General features: G+C 41.3%; 1 long non-coding RNA gene across 1 annotated transcript in view; it reads left to right on the forward strand.

Annotated features, from left to right (window-relative positions):
- The window catches only part of LINC01504 (long intergenic non-protein coding RNA 1504), a 37,775-nt gene that overhangs the window by 13,324 nt on the left and 2,563 nt on the right, over positions 1-21,888 (forward strand). The window contains exons 3-4 of the long non-coding RNA NR_110952.1: positions 9,905-9,962; positions 16,633-16,738. This is a non-coding gene — a long non-coding RNA (long intergenic non-protein coding RNA 1504). The remainder of the gene's footprint in view (positions 1-9,904; positions 9,963-16,632; positions 16,739-21,888) is intronic.

A 21,888-nucleotide genomic window follows, 5' to 3' on the forward strand; every position in this document is an offset into this window, starting at 1 on the left:
CCAGGGTGCTATGTGAATCTAGAGAAATAACACTTAACAGAGAGATAGGGAAGGACAGATAGTGTCAGCAAGATGACAATCTAGCTCTCTTAAGTGGGGCAGGAGTTACGAAGGCAGTGAAGGAAGGAAGGATAAGGAATTGAATTAACATAGAAAGATATGCATGATATCATAGGTGAAACTATTCTACTATTATGTATTTGTTTCCCCATTTCTGTTTTTAGAAATATATACATGAGTTTATTTATATTTATAATCATATGTGCAGATAATATGCTCTTATAGTGCTCTTTGGGGAGTGGGTTTCTGGGTAAATGTAAGAGAAGGCTTTACTTTTTGCTTATAAATTTTCACATTATTTGAAAATTTCATCACACATGTATTATGTTGGGCTTACTTTTTTGTAAAATAAAGTATGTGTAATATATCATTTTTCAAAATTGGAGAAAATGATATGCATTGCTGGGATGCAAATTTTTATGTATAATATAAAGCTTTGTGCTTCTTTAGTATAATTTCCTTAGTATGAAAATTTCCTAGAGGTAGAAGTGCTGAACCAATGGATACAATATTTGGAAAACATATTTAAAAAAAAAAGATATGGTAGACAATGGATAAGCCAAAATGAATGTATGAAGGGAAAGAAGATATTGAAGTTGGTAAAGAGAAGACATGATAGTTGCCTACTTGTATGTAAAGGCAGAAACATGGTATATTAGTTTGCTAGGACTGACATAACAAAGTACCACAAACTGGGTGCCTTATACAACAGAAATTTATTTTCTTACAATTCTAGAGGGTAGAAGTTCAAGATCAAGGTGTCACCAGAATCAATTTCTTCTGAGGCCTCTCTGCTGGGCTTGTAGATGGCCGCCTTCTCCCTGCGTCTTCACATGGTGTCTTTCTGTAGATGTCTGTGTCCTAATTTCCCCTTCACACAAGGATACCAGGCATATTGGATTAGGGCCCACCCCAATGATTTCATTTTAACTTAGTGACCTAATTAAAGACTCTGTCTCCAAATACAGTCACATTATGAAGTTTTCGGGTTAGGATTTTAACCTGTGAATTTTGGGGGAACACAATTCGCCTTATAACACATGGAAAAGAAAGCTCCAGAATCAATACTAGTGATGAGAATTTATCTTCACTATGAGAAGTAAACTTTGTTATATATATGTATCTATATGTATATATATACAAACACATATATATACATATATACACACACACACACACATATATATATACATATATATATATATATTTTTTTTGAGATGGAGTCTTGCTCTTGTTGCCCAGGCTGGAGTGCAATGGCACAATCTCTGCTCACTGCAACCTCTGCCTCCCGGGTTCAAGCAATTCTCTTACCTCACCCTCCCAAGTAGCTGGGACTACAGGTGCCCACCACCACACCTGGCTAATTTTTTGTATTTTTAGTAGAGACCGGGTTTCACCACGTTGGCCAGGCTGGTCTCAAACTCCTGACCTCTGGTGATCTGCCTGCCTCAGCCTCCCAAATTGCTGGGATTTTGAGACTCTGTCTAAAAAAAAAAAAAGGATGGACTGGACATGGGAGGGAAGTCCCATAAGATGATCATAATGGAGCTGAAAAATTTCTATCGCCTAGTGACATTGTAGCCATTTTGACATCAAAGTGCAATGTACTACTCAAGTGTTTGTAGTGATGCTGTTGTAAACAAATCTACCACACTGCTAGTCATATAAAAATATAGCACAATTGGCCAGGTGCAGTGGCTCACGCCTGTAATCCCAGCACTTTGGGAGGCCGAGGCAGGTGGATCACAAGGTCAAGAGATCAAGACCATCCTGGCCAACATGGTGAAACCCCATCTCTATAAAAATACAAAAATTAGCTGGATGTGGTGGCAGGCGCCTGTAGTCCCAGCTACTTGGGAGGCTGAGGCAGGAGAATTGCTTGAACCTGGAAGGTGGAAGTTGTAGTGAGCCGAGATTGTGCCACTGCACTCCAGCCTGGCAACAGAGGGAGACTCTGTCTCTCTGTCTCTCTCTATATATATATACATATATAGCACAATTATGTACAGTACATAATACTTGATAATGTAATAAACAACTTGCTGGTGTATGTATTTAATATACTATATATATATATACACACACATATTTTTTTTTTTTTTTGAGACGGAGTCTTGTTTTGTCACCAGGCTGGAGTGCAGTGGTGCTATCTCGGCTCATTGCAACCTCCGCCTCCTGGGTTCAAGCGATTCTCCTGCCTCAGCCTCCCAAATAGTTGGGATTACAGGCGCATGCCACCACGCCCAGCTAATTTTTGTATTTTTAGTAGAGACGGGGTTTCACCATGTTGGCTAGGATGGTCTCCATCTCTTGACCTCATGATCCACCTGCCTCAGGCTCCCAAAGTGCTGGGATTACAGGCGTGAGCCACCGTGCCTGGTCCTATACCATACTTTTAATCATTATTTTATAGTGGACTCCTTGTACTTATTTTAAAAAGTTAACTGTAAACAGCCTCAGGCAGGTCCTTCAGAATGTACCCAGAAGAAGGCATTGTTATCATAGGACGTGACAGCTCCATGTATGTTATTGCCATGAAGACCTTCCAAGTGGGACAAGATGTGGAGGTGGAAAGCAGTGATATTGATGATCCTGACACTGTGCAGGCCTAGGCTAAGGTGTGTGTTTGTGTCTTAGTTTTTAACAAAAAATTTAAAAAGTAAAAAACTAGTAAAAATTCTAAAAATGAAAAAAAGCTTATAGAATAAAAATATAAGGAAATAAAATATTTTTGAGCAGCTGTACAATGTGTTTTAAGCTAAATTTATTATAAAAGTCAAAAATTTTTAAAAATTAAATAGTTTAAAAAAGTAAAAATGTTACAGTAAGCTAAAGTTAGTTTACCTTTGAAGAAGGAATAGGTTTGTAGCATAGGAGCAATAGGCCACACCATATAAGCTAGGTGTGTAGTAAGCTATACCATCTAGGTTTGTGTGAGTACATTCCCTGAGGCTAACACAAGGACAAAACCACCTAACAACACATTTGTCAGAAGGTATCCCCAGTGCTAAGTGACACATGACTATAGTTTGCCAACCCTGATCTAAAGCTGTAATTCAAGAAAACTTAAAATATTTACTAGTTTGAACATAAGTATGTAGTGAGCCCAGACTGATTAATTATGAGTTATACTCATTTCTTTGTTGATTTGTTTAATAAATGCTGTATTTCTGAGTGATAATCATATAGTCTGGTCCCTTTCCAATAACTTTATACCTATATTCTATTATGAAGATGTAAACTCTGAACTTTAGTTTAATAATAGCATATTTCTGGACCAGGAATTTAGGTTTTTAAAAAGTTTTTGCTACAAATACTTAGGTTAAATCTGTCACAGAAATGATGTATCACATGCTATAACTGCAAAATAAGGGACAGAGAGATGAAGGTTAAGATGATGCATCCCAGAGAGTTGGTCTTTCATTCTGCTATTCATTCAAACAATATTCACATGTCAACATGTGCAAGGCACTAGAATGCATTCCTTGGAGAATTCCAGGATGACATAGACATAAACATGATCTTCAAAGTCTCCAGTGCTTTCTTTGGATAAAATGAGAATAGAATTGCCCTGGCCTTGGGAATTAGTTTAGGGAGAGCACATGACCAAGCTAGAACAAGTGGACTCTTGCCATGAAATTTTAGCCTCAAGTGGAATACCTTCGCTGTAAGAGCATGCAACTATGTCATTGAGGAGACAGTTCATTCGTTCCTGCCCTGTGCTACATAGAGTTGCCCTTTTTCCAAGGATGTTTGGTTTGCAAAGGGGATTAAAAAGAAATCATGCTGGAAAAGTAAGTTGGAGTGAGCTGTGGTGAGCCTTCAAAACCAGAGGGAGGAGCATGAACTATATTCTATAGATAAAAAAGCTTCTTCTAATACCATAATTGATTTTAGTGGGTTAGCAATAAACCAGGTGAATACAACATCCATGTCCATGATGTGCTAAAGACCAGCCTGAGTTATGCTAGGTAGAAGGCTGATTACAGATTGGAAGTATTTGGCATTCCGTGCAGATTTTCCTGTTCTGCTGCTCTACAGCAGGGTTTCTCAACCTCAGCACTGTAAGAATTAAAGAAATAGGAAAGAAACATGAAGGGTGGCTCGACAGTCAACAAGGACAGGTTTATTTTAGAAAACAAACCTGAGAGGGGCTTCTGGCCGAGTTAGGTCAGAGCCCACTCTCTTACACACTAAGAGGTTTTAAGGATTCAGGGTGGAAGAGTTTATCAGAGGCTTGGACTGCTTCTGTGTCTCTTTGTTGTGCTTATCTGGGAGGGAGAGTTGTGTGTCTGTTCCCATACATCTTTCTGCAGCTGCAGGCATACCCCCCAATTCTGCTTTTAGCTTCCCTAACTTAGTGCACCTGAAGGGAAAGGAATGTGCTTATTGGGGCCCACTGTTTTACCGGGGCCCATTGTATGAGGGCGAAGTTTGGCAGTTACCCAAGAGCCTTTCCCCCCACCTCTGTTTATCTGTGTTTTACTGTCTGCTCTTTCTGGCTGCTTGTAGTTAGAAGAGAAGTGATTTCCTTGAAATGCATGACACTAGAAAGAGAGCTGGAACTTAAAGTGGTGGTGTTTGTCCAACATGACGGTGCTCCTGCTCTGTCAAGCACTGGTGACATTTGGGCTGGATAATTATTTGTTGTGGGAGACTGCTCTGTGTCTTGCAGGAGGTTGAGTCTCCACCCACTAGATACTACCAAGTAGTACCACCTCTCCTGCTACAATAGGAAAAAATGTCTCTAGACACTGGCATGTGTGCCCTGGAGAGTGGTATAGTTTCCTATTGCTGTGGTAAGAAATTATGACAAAGTTAATGACTTAAACACAAATTTATTCTCTCACAGTTCCAGAGGTTGGAAGTCTGAAATGAGTCTTATGAGACTAAAATCAAAATATTAGCAGGGCTGGTTCCTTGTGGAGGCTCTGAAGGGAGAATCCATTCCCTTGTCTTCTTTCAACTTCTAGTAGCCACCTATATTCCTTGGCTTGTGTCCTCATTTACCTCTTCAAAGTGCATCTTTCCAAACTTGACTTCTGTCATCCTATCGCCCTCTCCTCCACTCTGACTCCTTCTACCTTCCTCTTAGAAGCACTGTCGTGATTCTCTTGGGCACACCTGCATAACCCAGGCTCATCTCCTTATCTCAAATCCTTAACTTAATCACATCTGCACGGTGTTTTTGCCATGTGAGGTAATGTTCACAGGTTCTGTGAGTTAGGATGTAGACATGTTTGGGGGCCCATTATTCAGTCTACCACTAGGGCAAAATTGCCCCATGTTGAGAACTACTGCCACAGAAGAATGGGGCCAGATAACCTAGATTTGAGTCCCAGCTGCACTTACCTACTAGCTGTGTGACATCAGTTTTCTGTTTTTTCTTTTTTTTTTGGTGGGTGGGGGAGACAGAGTCTTCCCCTGTCTCCCAGGCTGCAGGGCAGTGGCGAGATCTTGGCTTACTGCAACCTCCGCCTCCCAGGTTAAAGCAAGGCTCCTGTCTCAGACTCCCGAGTAGCTGGGACCACAGGCGTGCGCCACCACACCTGGCTCATTTTTGTATTTTTAGTAGAGATGGGGTTTCACCATGTTGGCCAGGCTGGTCTCAAACTCCTGACCTCAGGTGATCCACCCGTCTCGGCCTCCCAAAGTGCTGGGATTACTGACGTGAGCCACCACACCCGGCCAACATCAGTTTCTCATCTGTAAAATGGAGCTAGTAGTAGTACTTACCCCATGGAATTTTTTTTTTTGAGAAATAAATGAGATAAAGCACACAAAGTCAAGCAGTTATCAAAGTCCTTGTGATATGGTTCTTAATACTTGTTACCTATTGAAAATAAAAGTAAAGTTACATTTAGGATTTGTAAATATGTGGATTAACTTCATGGACAAATGTAGAAAATGACAGTGGTCTCTAAGGAACAAGCCCCTGGCTAACTTGGAGTAAATAGCACAATCATAATTGTTTAATTATGAACATGCTCTAATTCTCATGCCACTCTTACAAGGTATGTGAGGTCACACAAGAGTTTCTCCAATAAGTTTTTATATATTTATTGAAATGTACTAAAAGTTTCTATTTTATGCTTTTTACATGTAGTAACTCATTTAATGCTCACAGCTACTCTGAGACATAGATAATATTGTTATTCCCATTTTACAGATGAAGGAACGAGGGCACAGAGAGATTCGAGTTGTCACCCAAGCTCACATAGCACCAGTGACAGAGGTGAGATTTGAATCAGGCAGCCTCTGTCTAGAGTTCCCTTCCTAACCTCCATTCTATACTGCTTTCAAAGATCCAGCCCTTCCCTCAAATCACGTTTTCTTACTTAGACTAGGGTTTGATTCATGTTTACTCACTGGGAATAAAGGTCAGTTAAACAGAATGAGAGAACAGGAAAGTCTTTCAAAATGATGCTTCTGTCTACTTACATTGTCTGTTACTTTAACAACTTAGGGATTCTTGGAGCAAGTAAAGAACCAAATATAAAGACTGCTTTGTGGGAGGTAGCTTGGATCCTTCATCATTTTTTTTCCCCCCATAACTCCTGAGTTCCACTGGAGACACAGATTCTCTGGGGGTAAGATTAGCGGATTCGTATTTTAACAGACCTCTGGCGGTTCTTCTCTATGCTAAAGTTTGAGAACACTGCTTTCAGCATTTCTAATCTCATCTCAAATTCATCAGGGAGCTGTTTCCTCCTTCATGAAAAAATCTTTGACTTAATGATAGCTACCCAGGCCTACCTTATTAGCTAAAGGGGGCATAGAGACTTAACTCTCAGTGGTTGACAATTATTGTAAAGTAATTCTTGCCGTTATTTTTCTCCCCTAAGGGTAAACTTAGCAGCAAATGGCATACTAGTAACTTAACCAATTGAAAGGGTAACAGCAAAACTAACAACCAAGTTTGCTTTTGATAGGTAGAATTGGCTGCCTATAAGGTGTGACATGAAAGTTGAAGGAAGGCTCACTTTTGCAAATATCTTTCCCACTGTTCTGCCAGGGGGAAGCAATTTTTTGGTTTGGGTTCCCCTAAATTCCAAATATGTTACCTAGGAGGAGTAATAAGTTATACATTAAACTGTTATGATTCAATCACAGCTTTAAAAAGATCGCAAAATTAGCTCTCAGGTTACTTAGCAAATAACCAATTAAGGTCTTGAGAGGATAATATTTGGGATGGGAAAATTTAGGTGGGTAGAAAAAGGCTGAGCAAAGTCAAGAATGTAGGCTGTTACCAAAGGCCAAATGGCAATACTGGACCAGCATATCTTCTTCTGCTATTTCCTTTATGCCCCTGAGGGTTCTTCTGAAGCAGGAGTTGGCAAACTTTTTCTTTTCTTTTTCTTTTGAGACAGAGTCTCACTCTGTTACCCAGGCTGCAGTGCAGTGGCATGATCTCAGCTCACTGCAACCTCCACCTCTGGGACTCAAGCGATCCTCCCGCCTTAGCCACCCGAGTAGCTGGGACCACAGGTGCACACCACCACACCCAGCTAATTTTTTTGTATTCTTGGTAGAGACAAGGTTTCACTATGTTGCCTAGGCTGGTCTCAAACTTGTGAGCTCAAGCGATCCGCCTGCCTTGGCCTCGCAAAGTTCTGGGATTACAGGTGTGAGCCACCACACCTGGCCGCATACTTTTTCTATAAAGAACCAGATAGAGGCTGGGCATGGTGGCTCACGCCTGTAATCCCAACACTTTTGGAGGCTGAGTCGGGCAGATGACCTGAGGTCAGGAGTTCAAAACCAGCCTTGACCAATATGGTGAAACCCTGTCTCTACTAAAAATACAAAAATTGGCTGGGCATTGTAGCATCTGCCTGTAATCCCAGCTACTGGGGAAACTGAGGCAGGAGACTCGCTTGAACCTGGGAGGCAGAGGTTGCAGTGAGCTGAGACTGCACCATTACACTCCAGACTGGGCAACAAGAGGGAAACTCCATCAAAAAAAAAAAAAAAACCAGACAGAAAATATTTTAGGCTCTTCAGTCATGTGGTCTCTGTCGCAACTGCTCAACTCTGCCATTGTAGTGTGAAAGCAGCCATGGACAATATGTAAACAAAACAGTGTGGCTGTGCTTAGTTATGAATCCTAATATTTGAATTTAATATAATTTTCATGTTATAAATTTTTAATTATCTTGTTTTTTCTCAACCATTTAAAATATGAAAATTATTCTTAGTTCAGGGCACATATAAAAACAGATGGTAGGCTGGATGGGCCAGTTTATTGATCCCTGTTCCAAAGCAAAATCAATTTGCTGTTTTCAATACATACTCCATGCTATCCTACTTCTTTACATTTGCTTTCATTATTCCTTCCACTTACGTAGAAGGAGCCCTACACACCCCAACCTACATGCCCATATGTACCCATCACCTAGTTCAATTATTAGCTTATTTTCAAAGTAAACTCTCATCCTCTAAGTGCCTTCATCTATACTTCTCTGATGGCCTTGATCATGGCAGATTTGTATTACTTTGTGGTCTGTGATTTTTTTTTAAATTTTATTTGTTTACGTATTTATTTATTTTTGAGATGGAGTCTTGCTCTGTTGCCCAGGCTGGAGTACAGTGGCACGATCTCTGCTTACTGTAACCTCCGCCTCACGAGTTCAAGTGATTCTCCTGCCTCAGCCTCCCGAGTAGCTGGGACTACAGGCACACACCACCGCGCCCAGCTAATTTTTGTATTTTTAGTAGAGATGGAGTTTCACTGCGTTGTCCAGGCTGGTCTCAAACTCCTGAACTCATGATCCTCCCGCCTTGGCCTCCCAAAGTGCTAGGATTACAGGCATGAGCCACTGTGCCCAGCCAGGATGTTTTATTTTTATATCCTCCATGGCACCGAGCCTAACAGAGTTAGCAAAGTGTCCTAAGTCAAGGAAGAACCATCAGCATTTAGGAAACAGCATAAAGATTGTACCCGGCCAAAAGTGGAATGAAAGTAGTTAAAAGAGAAGTGAAAACGTTTCTGAACACCTATAGTGGTTTGAATGACAGCCTCCCAAAAGATAGGTCCTTGTTCTAAAACCTGAACCCGGACAGGCGTAGTGGCTCACGCCTGTAATCCCAGCACTTTCAGAGGCCAAGGCAGGTGGATCACGAAGTCGGGAGTTCAAGACCAGCCTGGCCAACGTAGTGAAACCCCATCTCTGCTAAAAATACAAAAATTAGCTGGGCATGGTGGCGTATGCCTGTAGTCCCAGCTACTCGGGAGGCTGAGGCAGGAGAATCACTTGAACCTGGGAGGCGGAGATTGTGGTGAGCCAAGATCATGCCACTGCACTCCAGCCTGGGCAACAGAGTAAGACTCCACTCAGATAATAGACAGATAAATAAATAAATAAATAAATAAAACCTGGACCCTGTGAATGTGACCTTATTTGGAGAAAGGGTCTTTGCAGATGTAAGTAAGTGAAGGATCTTAAGATGAGATCATCCTGGACTACACCCAATGATAAGTGTCCTTAAAGAGACAGAAGAGAAGACACACAGAGAACGCCATGTGAAAATGGAGGCAGAGATTGGAGGGATATAGGCACCTGGAATGCAGAGGGAGTGAATTCCTGCCAACACATAAATTTCAGACTTCTGGGCCCCAGATTGTGAAGAATAAATTTCTATTGTTTTAAGCCACTCAGTTTGTGGACATTTGTTACAGAAGCCCTAGGAAGCTAATACAACCCTCACCACCTGCTTTCCCAAGTTGTGTTAACAAATATCTAATATTTATTTAGCACTTGTTATATTCAGCTTTAAATAGATAATTACATTAAACTTTCACAGCAATCTTATAAAATAGGCATTATTATTATTCCTTGTACAGATGAAGAAACTGACATCTGGAGAAGTTGAAGTAATTTGCACAAAGATTCACTTGGCTAGTAAGTCATGAAACCAGAATTGAACCCAAGCAATCTGATTCCAATTCTCTTCTCTTTTTTAAAAAAAATTTATATATATACATTTGTTATTATACTTTAAGTTCCAGGGTACACGTGCACAACGTGCAGGTTTGTTACATATGTATACATGTGCCATGTTGGTGTGCTGCACCCATCAACTCGTCATTTACCTTAGGTATTCCTCCTAATGCCATCCCTCCCCCTCCCCCCACCCCATGACAGGCCCCGGTGTGTGATGTTCCCCACCCTGTGTCCAAGTGTTCTCATTGTTCAATTCCCACCTATGAATGAGAACACGTGGTGTTTGGTTTTCTGTCCTTGAGATAGTTTGCTCAGAATGATGGTTTCCAGCTTCATCCATGTCCCTACAAAGGACATGAACTCATCCTTTTTTATGGCTACATACTATTCCATGGTGTATATGTGCCACATTTGCTTAATCCAGTCTACCATTGATGGCCAGTCCTCTTCTCTTAATCACTGTTACCTGTTAGGTTCTTAATCATTCTCCTTACATTTCACATACCTTAACAGAGAGGAAGAAATGTTGGTTAATGACTTCCTTCTTTGGGGAATGATATTTCCTAAACTGGATTTCTGCTCTCCCAGCTACTCATTCTTGGTGAACAAGCATAGAATAGTCTACTGCTCAGGTCAGGACAACAGAATCTCTCTCTGGGTCTCCTGCCCTTCATCCTTCTCTGATTCCTAAGGTGGGGGAGCTTGGAAGCTTTATGTTAGCCTTTAAAGAGTATGGCCTTCATGAAAGTCTGTTCCCCTGAGCAGCTCTATTTGAATGCATTTAATAACTGTAGCTTCTAGTTTCCAATAAGGAAAATAAATAAGAGGAAACACAACTGCAGGCAGCACTGGGATGATGTCAACAATGGAAATATCAGCATGGTTCCTGGAAAAGTCATGGAGAGCAAAGTGCTCAAGAGCCATTGAAATCCTTTCATAGGAATAGGTTCTGAGGACCAAATGTTGTTAGAGTCTTCAGGGAAGCAAGATAGCACAGTGGTTAAGAGCATGAGTGCACTTGGGTCTAGGTTTGAATATCCTGGCATTATCACTTACTAGCTCTGTGACTGAGCAAATAACCTTGAGTCTCAGTTTTCTCATCTTCAAAGTGGGGAATAAAAATATTACCTACTTCATAGGTAATATTTATGTAGAACACTTGCACACGTAAGCCCTCAATATTATCAAAGTGTTAGCTGTTAAATTGTGTATGAAAGTCTTGAATGAAGGTTTTCACTCACCGCCTTTTCTCTCACCACCACCCTTACTCCTTTCCCTTTTACTAAATATAATTTTGCCACTTTGGCTGGGCGCGGTGGCTCAACGCCTGTAATCCCAGCACTTTGGGAGGCCGAGGCGGGCAGATCACTTGAGGTCAGGAGTTTTGAGACCTCCTGAAACCTCATCTCTACTAAAAATACAAAAAATTAGCCGGGTGTGGTGGCGCATGCTCATAATCCCAGCTACCAGGGGGCTGAGGCAGGAGAATCACTTGAACTCTAGAGGTGGAGGTTGCGGTGAGCTGAGATCGCACCATTGCACTCCAGCCTGGGTGACAAGAGTGAAACTCCATCTCAGGAAAAAAAAAGAAAAAAAAATTTGTCACTTCATTAACTTTTGAGTACCTCTATGGAGACCAAAAGTAAGTCAGCAAGAATAAAAAGAAGAATGCACAAAGCTTACACAAACTTTCCTTGAAAAATAATTACAAAAATAAAAAATGTTTTCAGAAAAAAGAAATTTTACATTACCAAAATCAAGATTATTTTACTCTATTCTAACCCAACAGATACAGGTTATTTCATAACCCCATTATGTGGAAATTTAGGTAGGGCCATTTTCATCACTTAATTCCTCTCATCCCCCACTCCTGCTGCCTCCTAGAAGCATTCATTATCTCAAGATAATTTCACTGATTATTGAGGCATTATTATTCTGTCGCTTCTATTGTGACCTCTTCATTTCTGAAATCACTCCTTTGCTTCAAAGATGACACACTGGTAAGGATACTAATTTTCCCCTACTCTTGTATTAACCAGGTCCCATAGCCCCAGCATCTGAAATTTGAAAAACCAGAATGTATAATACCATTAGTAGAAAATAGCATATGTAGCAGTCATTGCAACAGCCATTTTGCTGATAACACTTCATGCTTTCTTATCACTGTTTTCTATCACCATTACTTTCAAAGCATTTTCTGTCTGCTTGATACAGATTACATGCATATGGATTTTTGTATAGTAATGCTTATGGAATATAGTATTATATACTCTTCATATTTGGTATTATTTGTTGATGGATTGAGACCCAGGGAGCATTAAATAACTGCCGAAGCTAGTGCAGTGAATTTATTGTGAAACCTTGAATCCAGAATCTAGATTTTGACTCTCCACTCTTGAGCTTATGGTAGAACTATATGCCTTAGCCCTTGCAAGCAACAAAGAGTATCACTGGGCTTTAACATAGTTACTATAGTACCTCCTTTTCCTTAGTCTGCTTAATTCTATCCCATCCTAAAGAACTTTATCTTGGTCTGTCCTGTCACTCTGTCTTCCCTGCAAAGTTTCCCTTCATACCTTCATTCTTTCCCTTACCCTACTGGCATCTGATTCCATCTTCAGCCACTCTACTAACCACTGTTATCGTCAAAGTCAGCGATGAACGTCTTGCCAGATCTCCATGAGGCCCCTTCTCAGTCCTTAATTGATTCCATATTATCTGAGATGATAGAGCATGGACACCTTCTCAAAATTCTTTTCTCCCGCTATTTAGCCTTGCTCACCTGTTCTGATCTTTGCCCTGTGACTGTTCTTCTGAAAACTCCTTTTTGTTAGTAAAGATTTATTGAGCATTACTGTGGAACAGACATCATGTTAAACACTTTACCTGAGTAATTTAAGGGTCAGCCTTTCTATCGTGCAAGAATCATCTTTCCCTAATTATTTTTTGGGAGCTAGGTGTGTGTCACATTCCACTCCCATGTTTATCTGCACTGCTGCTTGCTTCATCTCTGTCACCAGCCCCTAAAGACTGTGAAATCTGAACACAGATAGTTACCACTTTGATGGGTCCCAAAATGTGTAAATCAGAGATTTGGAGATTTTTTCAACTTTGGGAGGAAAAATGTGGGACATGGTAGTCCGGTCCTTACAGGGGCACACAAAAGATAGCTTCCCTCATAACAAAATTAATTCATGATACCATAGATCCCAAACAGTTTTTCTGAAAACTCAGTTATAGGATCTGAGTGATGTACGAATGAGTGTTAAAGGTTTTTACATGTGAAGGTGTTGTCCTTCATTGTGGCTCTTGCATTTTGCTAGAGGCCAAAAAAAAAACAAACAAACAAACAAAAAAAACAAAAAACAAAAAATCCTTTTCCAAGGAAAAATTCCCTTCTTTAAAGGGAACTACATATTGAAAACTTATGTGGGAGGTTTGGGTGTCCCCAGTCTTGGGTCACTACCCAGAAAAAGAGAGCATGCTAGAAAGCCTTCAGGCATTCTACAGGAGAAAATCCCATGTTTAGGTTTTAAAGCCCCTCTATTTTCCCCCTGATCCTTTCCTGTTATTCTTTGCTACCCCAATTGTCTGTCCTCTTAAACAATGATTCCAATATTCCCCAGACCTGGGATATGGGTCTGGTTTTTTTGAAACAGAAAAAGCAATTACTCCATCACAGAAATGGTGTGTGATATGAGAGAACCAGATTACAACATCAGTCTTCTCTCAATTCTCCACCCCCTCATTCCTTACAAAGGGATTGTTCTTGCTCCTTAATATCTCTGGAGTCAGCCTTTGGGTGTAGGAGAGCAGCTCGGGAGAGAGTGCTAACATGAGCAGAAATGGCTTGTCTCTGTTCAGGATTCTAATGCAATCCAGGTCTCCCTGCGTTGCTATGCTGTATACATTCTCCATCCTTACCATTATGCAAAGCCATATAAAGACCCATCCGCCTCGATGTGCTGTGCCCCCAAATACAAACATGAGGACTTTGACCTTCATGTGTTGTGACTTAGCACAGACATCACACCCAACTTAAGTTTTTTCTTTATTTAACATTTCCTTCACTCTGAGTGAACGTTCTGTCTCCTTACATACTTGGAACCATCTAGATTCTCCTTTCACTTAAATGATCAAAAATGCTCAGGATTTTGCCTTAAAGAAAACTTGTCATTTGGCTTCTTTGTCATCTATTGATTAAGATTGGAAGCTATTTGGTCTTAGTGACAGTCTCTCGGCTTTGCTACAACACCTAATACAAGAATTCTCCACTCATTAAATCATAACCCCCTTTGGCTGAACTTGTTCAAGGAATAAAACAAATGCTTCATCACATAGAATTGTGATTTCTTAGCCAGTATAAGATTTAATGGGCATTTTTTAGTCACGGTTATAGTTACTGTTTACCAACCTTAAAAATTAATTTCAGTATTGTATTTCATTTAGTCATCTGTCCCCTTTAAAAATGGCAACAAATAATACTGGAAGATAGCTTTTCTTGGGTTTGTTTATTGGATTATCTTTAAGAGCCCTGTTTTTGTATTTATCGCCAGGGCTCAAGCACAGTCAAATCATCATTAATTAAAATGTGCAAGGCACCTACAAGCAGCATAAATAAATCAGAATGGAGAGGCCAGCCTCGTCTGAGTGTCTTGCGATGTGGGTTAGCCTAGAGGAAAGGCATGCTCTCTGAAAATCAGAAAAGAGCTTTTTCCACCCAGTTAAAAGCAAGGAAATATGAAGCCACTGATTGTCCAAGAGAAAGGTCTTTTCAGGCCCCTCCAAGGGTTAACTTTATGACAAAATGAAAGATTATCCTCTGCCATCTGTCGCTGAAACCCTGTCTCCATTTTATATTCAAGCCTTGGAGCAAAGAGAAACTAAAGGAAATGGAGAGACTTTAAATGTAACTAGGAGCTGTTTCATAAGTTGATTTCTCATTTGTCTTCATCAGAAAGATTTCAAGATTGGGCCATTTAATAGACTCTCACTGACATCTGAGGGGAAGATGAGCAGTCAACTGTTGGAGATACTTGGAAGAGGAATGCATTCTGCTGTGGGGATTGATGGGAAAATAAGGAGGAGACAGAACTCTAGGTCGTAACATGGAGACTGATTAAACTAAAAGCCCAAGAAGCCGGTGCTTCTTGGAACAATGGCTTCTGTGGCCCTGTGGAGGCAGCATCCTGCATCCATCCAGGGAAAGACAGGTGGCGCTCTACAGGGAAAGGTGAAGTGGCCAAGGTGGTGTTCTTGAGAAAGGCAATTGTGAGAGTCTTCTCACATTGTAGGGGTTCAGTTCTGAGGAGAAAGAACATTTGTCAATGAAACAAACTGTGAGGAAATCACAGCCTTTATGATGAAACGACCTTCTCAAAGCTTGATTCCTCCGGCTCCATCATTATCATTTACCAGAAGTTCATCTGACGGGTGTGTTGCGCCTCAGTGAATCTCAATGGTCTCCCACAGAATTTCACTTGAGAAATGGGATCTGAGGGCCTGGTGTGGTGGCTCTTGCACGCCTGTAATCCCAGCACTTTGGGGGGCCGAGGTGGGCGAATCACCTGAGGTCAGGAGTTCGAGACCAGCCTGACCAACATGGTGAATCCCTGTCTCTAGTAAAAACACAAAAATTAGCCAGGCATTGTGGCTCATGCCTGTAATCCCATCTACTTGGGAGGCTGAGGCAGGAGAATCACCTGAACCTGAGAAGCGGAGGTTGCAGTGAGCCAATATCGTGCCATTGCACTTCAGCCTGGGTGATGGAGTGAGATTCTGTCTCAAAAAAAGAAAGAAAAGAAAAGAGAAAAGAAAAGAAAGAAATGGGGTCTGCAAAGAGTTTTGTTTTTTCAATTCATCGATGCCTTATGAAGTAGATGGGCTGTTAGTTCCACTCTAGTGCAAGAACCACTCCCTCTTTCCTCTCCGCCTCAGAGTTTACCTATTTATTCCAGAAACAAAGGCACAGACGTCATTGTCACGTTGTGCACTTGAATTTCAACTCCGAACTGACCACAGTTAAGCTTGAAGCAAATTGAAAGACTCTGGGTAGATAGTATGGGAAAGTCTAAACAAAACATTGGTGGCCAGGAAGAATGCCTCATGGTGACATGTAAGGAGGCCAGCCAATGCCCAGACAAGACAAGGAGAGCCTCAGGAAAGACAGGTTAGTGGCCACACCCTCTGAGTTCTCATCCTGTCCTATTGAAGAGGAAATGAGTCTCTGAATAAGAGTCTTTCTCCTCATCTAGAATCCTAAAATGTTAAAGCTGGAAAGAACCTGAATATACTGTCTAAAGCCAAGCCTTCATTTTACAGGTGAAGAAAACTGAGGGTCTTAGAGGTCAAGGCACTAGTCTGTGGTCACACAGCTGCTTCACGGCAGACCCAGAAGTAGCCTGCGGTTTTCCTGAGGCTCAGTTCACATCTCTCTGCTCTGAGGAGCCATTTATTTTATTTTAATTCTTTTAAAAAATGTATTTTATTTTTAATGGATAATTAATAATTGCATATATTTATGAGGTACAATGTGATATTTTCATGTATATGTATTCATTATGGAATAATTAAATCAAGCTAATTAAGGAAGAATAATTTATTTTTCTTTCTTTCTTTTTTTTTTGAGACGGAGTTTTGCTCTGTCACCCAGGCTGGAGTGCAATGGCCCGATCTCGCCTCACTGCAACCTCCACCTCCCGAGTTCAAGAGATTCTCCTGCCTCAGCCTCCCAGGTAGCTGCTCCAGGCGCCCACCACCATGCCTGGCTAACTTTTGTATTTTTGTAGAGACGGGGTTTCTCCATGTTGGCCGAGACGGTCTCGAACTCCTGACCTCAGGTGATCCGCCTGCCTCAGCCTCCCAAAGTGCTGCGATTACAGGCGTGAGCCACCGTGCCCAGTGAACAATTTATTTCCTAATCATCATGAAGAGAAGAAAAATAATTATTTATTCTCTGTTCATGTAAGTATGTCCAAGTAATTTATTAAGGAGTAAGAAAAGAGGACTAAAACCCTTAACTAAAAATGAAGTAAAAAGTTTAGATTTCTGGCCTTGCACATGTAGTTCCAGCTACTAGGGAGGCTGAGGTGGGAGGAGAATCACTTGAGCAGAGGAGTTCAAGGCCATAGTGTGCTGTGATCGCACCACTGCACTCCATCCTGGGCAACAGAGCAAGATGCTGTTTCTAAAAATAAATAAATAAATAGAAATTTAGATTTATAAGAAAAATTATCTTGATTATTGACTGCAATGTTACTTTTTTTTTGAGATGGAATCTGGCTCTGTCGCCCAGGCTGGAGTGCCGTGGTACAATCTCGGCTCACTGCAAGCTCCGCCTCCCAAGTTCATGCCATTCTCCTGCCTCAGCCTTCCGAGTAGCTGGGACTACAGGCGCCCACCACCACGCCCGGCTAATTTTTTGTATTTTTTTTAGTAGAGATGGGTTTTCACCGTGTTAGCCAGGATGGTCTCGATCTCCTGACCTCATGATCTGCCCGCCTCAGCCTCCCAAAGTGCTGGGATTATAGGCGTGAGCCACCGCGCCCAGCCTGTTACTTTCTTTTTAATAAAATTCTCTATTATTTCTAGAGTATGGCCAGACATGGTACATAAACCTTCAAAAGTGTCCTGGCGTGTCCATCTCTCCTCCTACCCAATAAATCACGTTATTCTCATCTCCATTTCCAGTTACCCTCTGAAATTTCCCAATTCTGGTAATATTCCCTTTAAATGTTAGGAGAATGCAAATTCATTTTTAAAATTCCTGTATCCACTTAGCAAATTATAGCTAAAGCTAAAATTTCAATACTTCATCAATCTTATTTCTAAATAGAAAACAGGTAAGTACAGGCAAGTCTGAATTATAGAACTTTTTGAAAGAAATTTAATTGACTTAATTACAACAAATGAGTTTACAAGATATAAAAAAAGAGATGTTGGGAGTGGGCGGCTGGATAAGAATGAGCTGTAATCACCATAAGAATTATTTTCATTTTTCTAGGCTGGCACTGTGCCTCACATCTGCAATCCCAGCATTTTGGGAGGCCAAGGCGGGCAGATCACTTGAGGTCAGGAGTTCGAGACCAGCCTGGGCAACATGGTAAAACCCCATCTCTACTAAAAACACAAAAATTAGCCAGGTGTGATGGAGTATGCTTGTAGTCCCAGCTACTTGGGAGGCTGAGGCAGGAGAATTGCTTGAACCTGGGAGGCAGAGGTTGCAGTGAGCCAAGATGGTGCCACTGTACTCCAGCTTGGGTGACAGAACAAGACTCCATCTCAAAAAAAAAATTATTTTCATTTTTCCTAAGGAAGAAATTGGCAAAGTTTGTTTGCAGCTGGAGCACAGTCTTAAAATCTTTGCCACATTATTGTCATGCTTAGCAAATACAAAGTATTCCCACCTCCACCAACTCCCTTAGGACTCAGACTGTAAGATTTACAGAGCTCTGAAGAAATGTCTTCCTTTTAAGACTATGAATTTATGGAAGCATCTGAAAATTAAAAAGCACATAAAATAGTCATTTGCTAAATGCATCAAACCCTCGGGGGCTCTAATGAACAGTTGTGTTGAACTGGATACATAAAGCTTTCCATTTGTTGTTACCTCCAAAATCCTTGTCAAAGTTGTCATCATCCTGAAGGCCTGACTCATTTTTAGCGTATCTGAGCAGGCTGTTCCTATCTGTCAGTTATAATTGTTCTTCTCATTTCTCTAGTCATTTTGGTGAAGTTTCCCCCGGCTGCACAGCCCACCACACCTCCTCCCCCAGTTGTCCCAACTGACACACCTGGATTTGGTATTTGCTAAGATGTCCAGTTGTGAGCTCCCCCACTTCATTCCGGATGTGGCTCATCACAAACTGGCCACTGCTCTAGATTCGCCAGATTGGTGCCACTGAAACCTTTTTCCTTTTTAAAGAATTTTATATGAACTGATGAGGTTTCTTCTAGATGATTTTCCCCATATGTTGTTACATTTTTTGTGAATAAAATAACCAATAATTCCTGGTGGACAATGCAGGATGTTTTAATAACTTTATTAGCTAGTTTCCCAACTTTGGAGTACATAGTTACTATTTTTTCCTCTAAAGTAGGTTGGGCACATTGGCTCACGCCTGTAATCCCAGCACTTTGGGAGGCCGAGGTAGGCAGATCACCTGAGGTCAGGAGTTCGAGACCAGCCTGACCAACATGGGGAAACCCCATCTCTACTAAAAATACAAAAACTAGCTGGGTGTGGTGGCATGCACCTGTAATACCAGTTAGTCAGGAGAGTGAAGCAGGAGAATCGCTTGAACCCAGGAGGCGGAGGTTGCAGTGAGCCAAGATCATGCCATTGCACTACAGCCTGGGCAAGAGCAAAACTCTGTCTTAAAAATAAATAAATAAATAAGTAAATAAAGTAAATATGTTCTACCTGTTTAACACCAGAGGGCTTGGCACATGGGAGTCACTCGCTGCTTTTTGTTGTTGTTGTCACTGATTTTTCTCTTTCTTTTAAGTATTTAAGAAAATAAGATGCTGGGCTGGGCGTGGTGGCTCACACCTGTAATCCCAGCACTCTGGGAGGCCTAGGCAGGCGGATCGCTTGAGGTCAGGAATTCGAGACCAGCCTGGCCAACATGGTGAAACTCTGTCTCTAGTAAAAATACAAAAAATTAGCCAGGCATGGTGTGTGCGCCTGTAATCCCAGCTACTCAGGTGGCTGAGGCAGGAGAATTGCTGGAACCCCTGAGGCAGAGGTTGCGGTGAGCCGAGATCGCCTCACCACACTCCAGCCTGGGAGACAGAGTGAGACTCCGTCTCAAAAAAAAAAAAAAAAGAAAAGAAAAGAGAGAGAGAGAGAAACAAGCATGGTGGTGAGCCAGGCACTGTGAAATGTGCTGGGGAATACAAAGATGAGCACATCACAAACAGTCTTTGATTCCAAGGGCTTTAAATACACAGTTAGTTTTCTTACCGTTAGATGATGCTGTAAACTTGCATGATCCGTAGCCTGCATTAGGGAACTGGGCCATGAAGTAGTAATGCAGTGGAACCTCATCCATTTATTCACATCACACTGGGTAGGCTCTCCTTCCTCTGATGACTATGCCACTGGAAAATGTGGTCCCAGAGTCACTCTAGCAGAGAAATGAGAGGAAGGAGTTTCAAGCGGAACGTTTTCAAGGGTCAAACTTAGAAGTGACTTACCTTCATTCTACCCACCATTCCTGGCTCAGACTCTGACACACAGCTAACTGCAAGGAAACCTGAGGATTGTTATCTTACAATGTGCAGAAGTAGAGGAACTGGGGTGATATTAAAGAAAAAATGATTTGCGACATTTGTGAAAATGGTAAGGTGGACTTTATTCAGGACCATCATGATAGGTATAGCAACTACCGAAATGGAGTTGCACAGCAGTGGAGGGAGATTGGACTCAACTCTGTGTACAGCAAGGAAAAGTGGGAATGTATAGCCAAGAAGCACAGTGGATGGAAAAAGAAATACAAGGAATGGTTACTAAGAGGAAACATCAGAGGTAAGAGAGGATTCTAGCTAACCGACCTAACAGGGTTCTTGCTGAAGGGAGATCTTCAGCAAGAAGAAGGGTTCTTGCTAGGGTGATCGGAAATCACCTGGGGGATGGTGAGAGATGAATTTGGTCAGAAATTAAGAGTGATCAGATAGCAAGGATGAGGGATCATGGCTAAACTAGCTTAGCAGAATTCTTGCTAAAATCAGGCTCTTGAGGACAGGCCCAAGCGTGGGCCCTGTTGAAAACGAGCTCAAAGGGGCTTGCTAGAATTTTGTCAAGAAGAGAGTCTTTGTCAGTAGCAAGCACTTAGCATTGTTTCTGTTGCATAACCAGAGATCATTTCCTCTGAATGTTTCATAGTGTGTATCAACATGTAAAATCAATGTCAATATTTCCCACAACCATGGTAAACTAAATGTTTTTGTGGTCATAATGGAACTTCTCAAAGAGAGCTATTTATTCCTTTATTGAATCTGTCACATCAAAGAAGTGGTGCACATTGATAAAGTTTTTATCTGTGGCTAAAATCTTTGTAACTAATATTCATGTAAAAGCATACCTGAATTATAGTCAACATAATTGTTCTTTCTGCATCATATTTTAATAGTTAAAGCAAGATTCTTTGGCCACACTTTCTAATTCTTCTTTTATTTATTTATTTATTTTTGAGACAGAGTTTTGCTCTTGTTGCCCAGGTTGGAGTGCTATGGCGCAATCTCAGCTCACCGCAGCCTCCGCCTCCCAGGTTAAAGAAATTCTCCTGCCTCTGCCTCCCGAGTAGCTGAGATTACAGGCATGCACCATTACGCCCGGCTAATTTTGTATTTTTAGTAGAGACGGGGTTTTTCCATGTTGAGGCTGGTCTCGAACTCCTGACCTCAGGTGATCTGCCCACCTCAGCCTACCAAATGCTGGGATTACAGGCGTGAGCCACCACGCCCGGCCCACACTTTCTAGTTCTTATTGTGTCCTCAATGTAGTTGGTTAAATTGTGTCTCCCAAAAAGATATGCTGGAGTCCTAATCACCCGTACCTGTGAATGTGACTTTATTTGGAAATAGGATTGCAGAGATAATCAAATTAAGGTGAGGGTACACTAGAATAAGGTGTGCTTTCAATCTAATGACTATTATCTTACTGAGAGAAAGAAGATGGAGATTTGGATACAGACACACACAGACTCACAGGAAGAAGGCCATGAAGACAGAGGCAGAGATTGAGATATGTAGCTGCAAACCAAAGAACTTTAAGATTTGCTGACAACCATAAGAAATTAGGAGAGAGGCACGAAATGAATTTTTTCTTAGAGCCTCCAGAAGGAACCTACACTGCTGACACCTTGATTTTCTTTTTATTTTA

Source organism: Homo sapiens, chromosome 9, assembly GCF_000001405.40.
Source record: "Homo sapiens chromosome 9, GRCh38.p14 Primary Assembly".
Classification (NCBI taxonomy): Eukaryota; Metazoa; Chordata; class Mammalia; order Primates; family Hominidae; genus Homo; species Homo sapiens.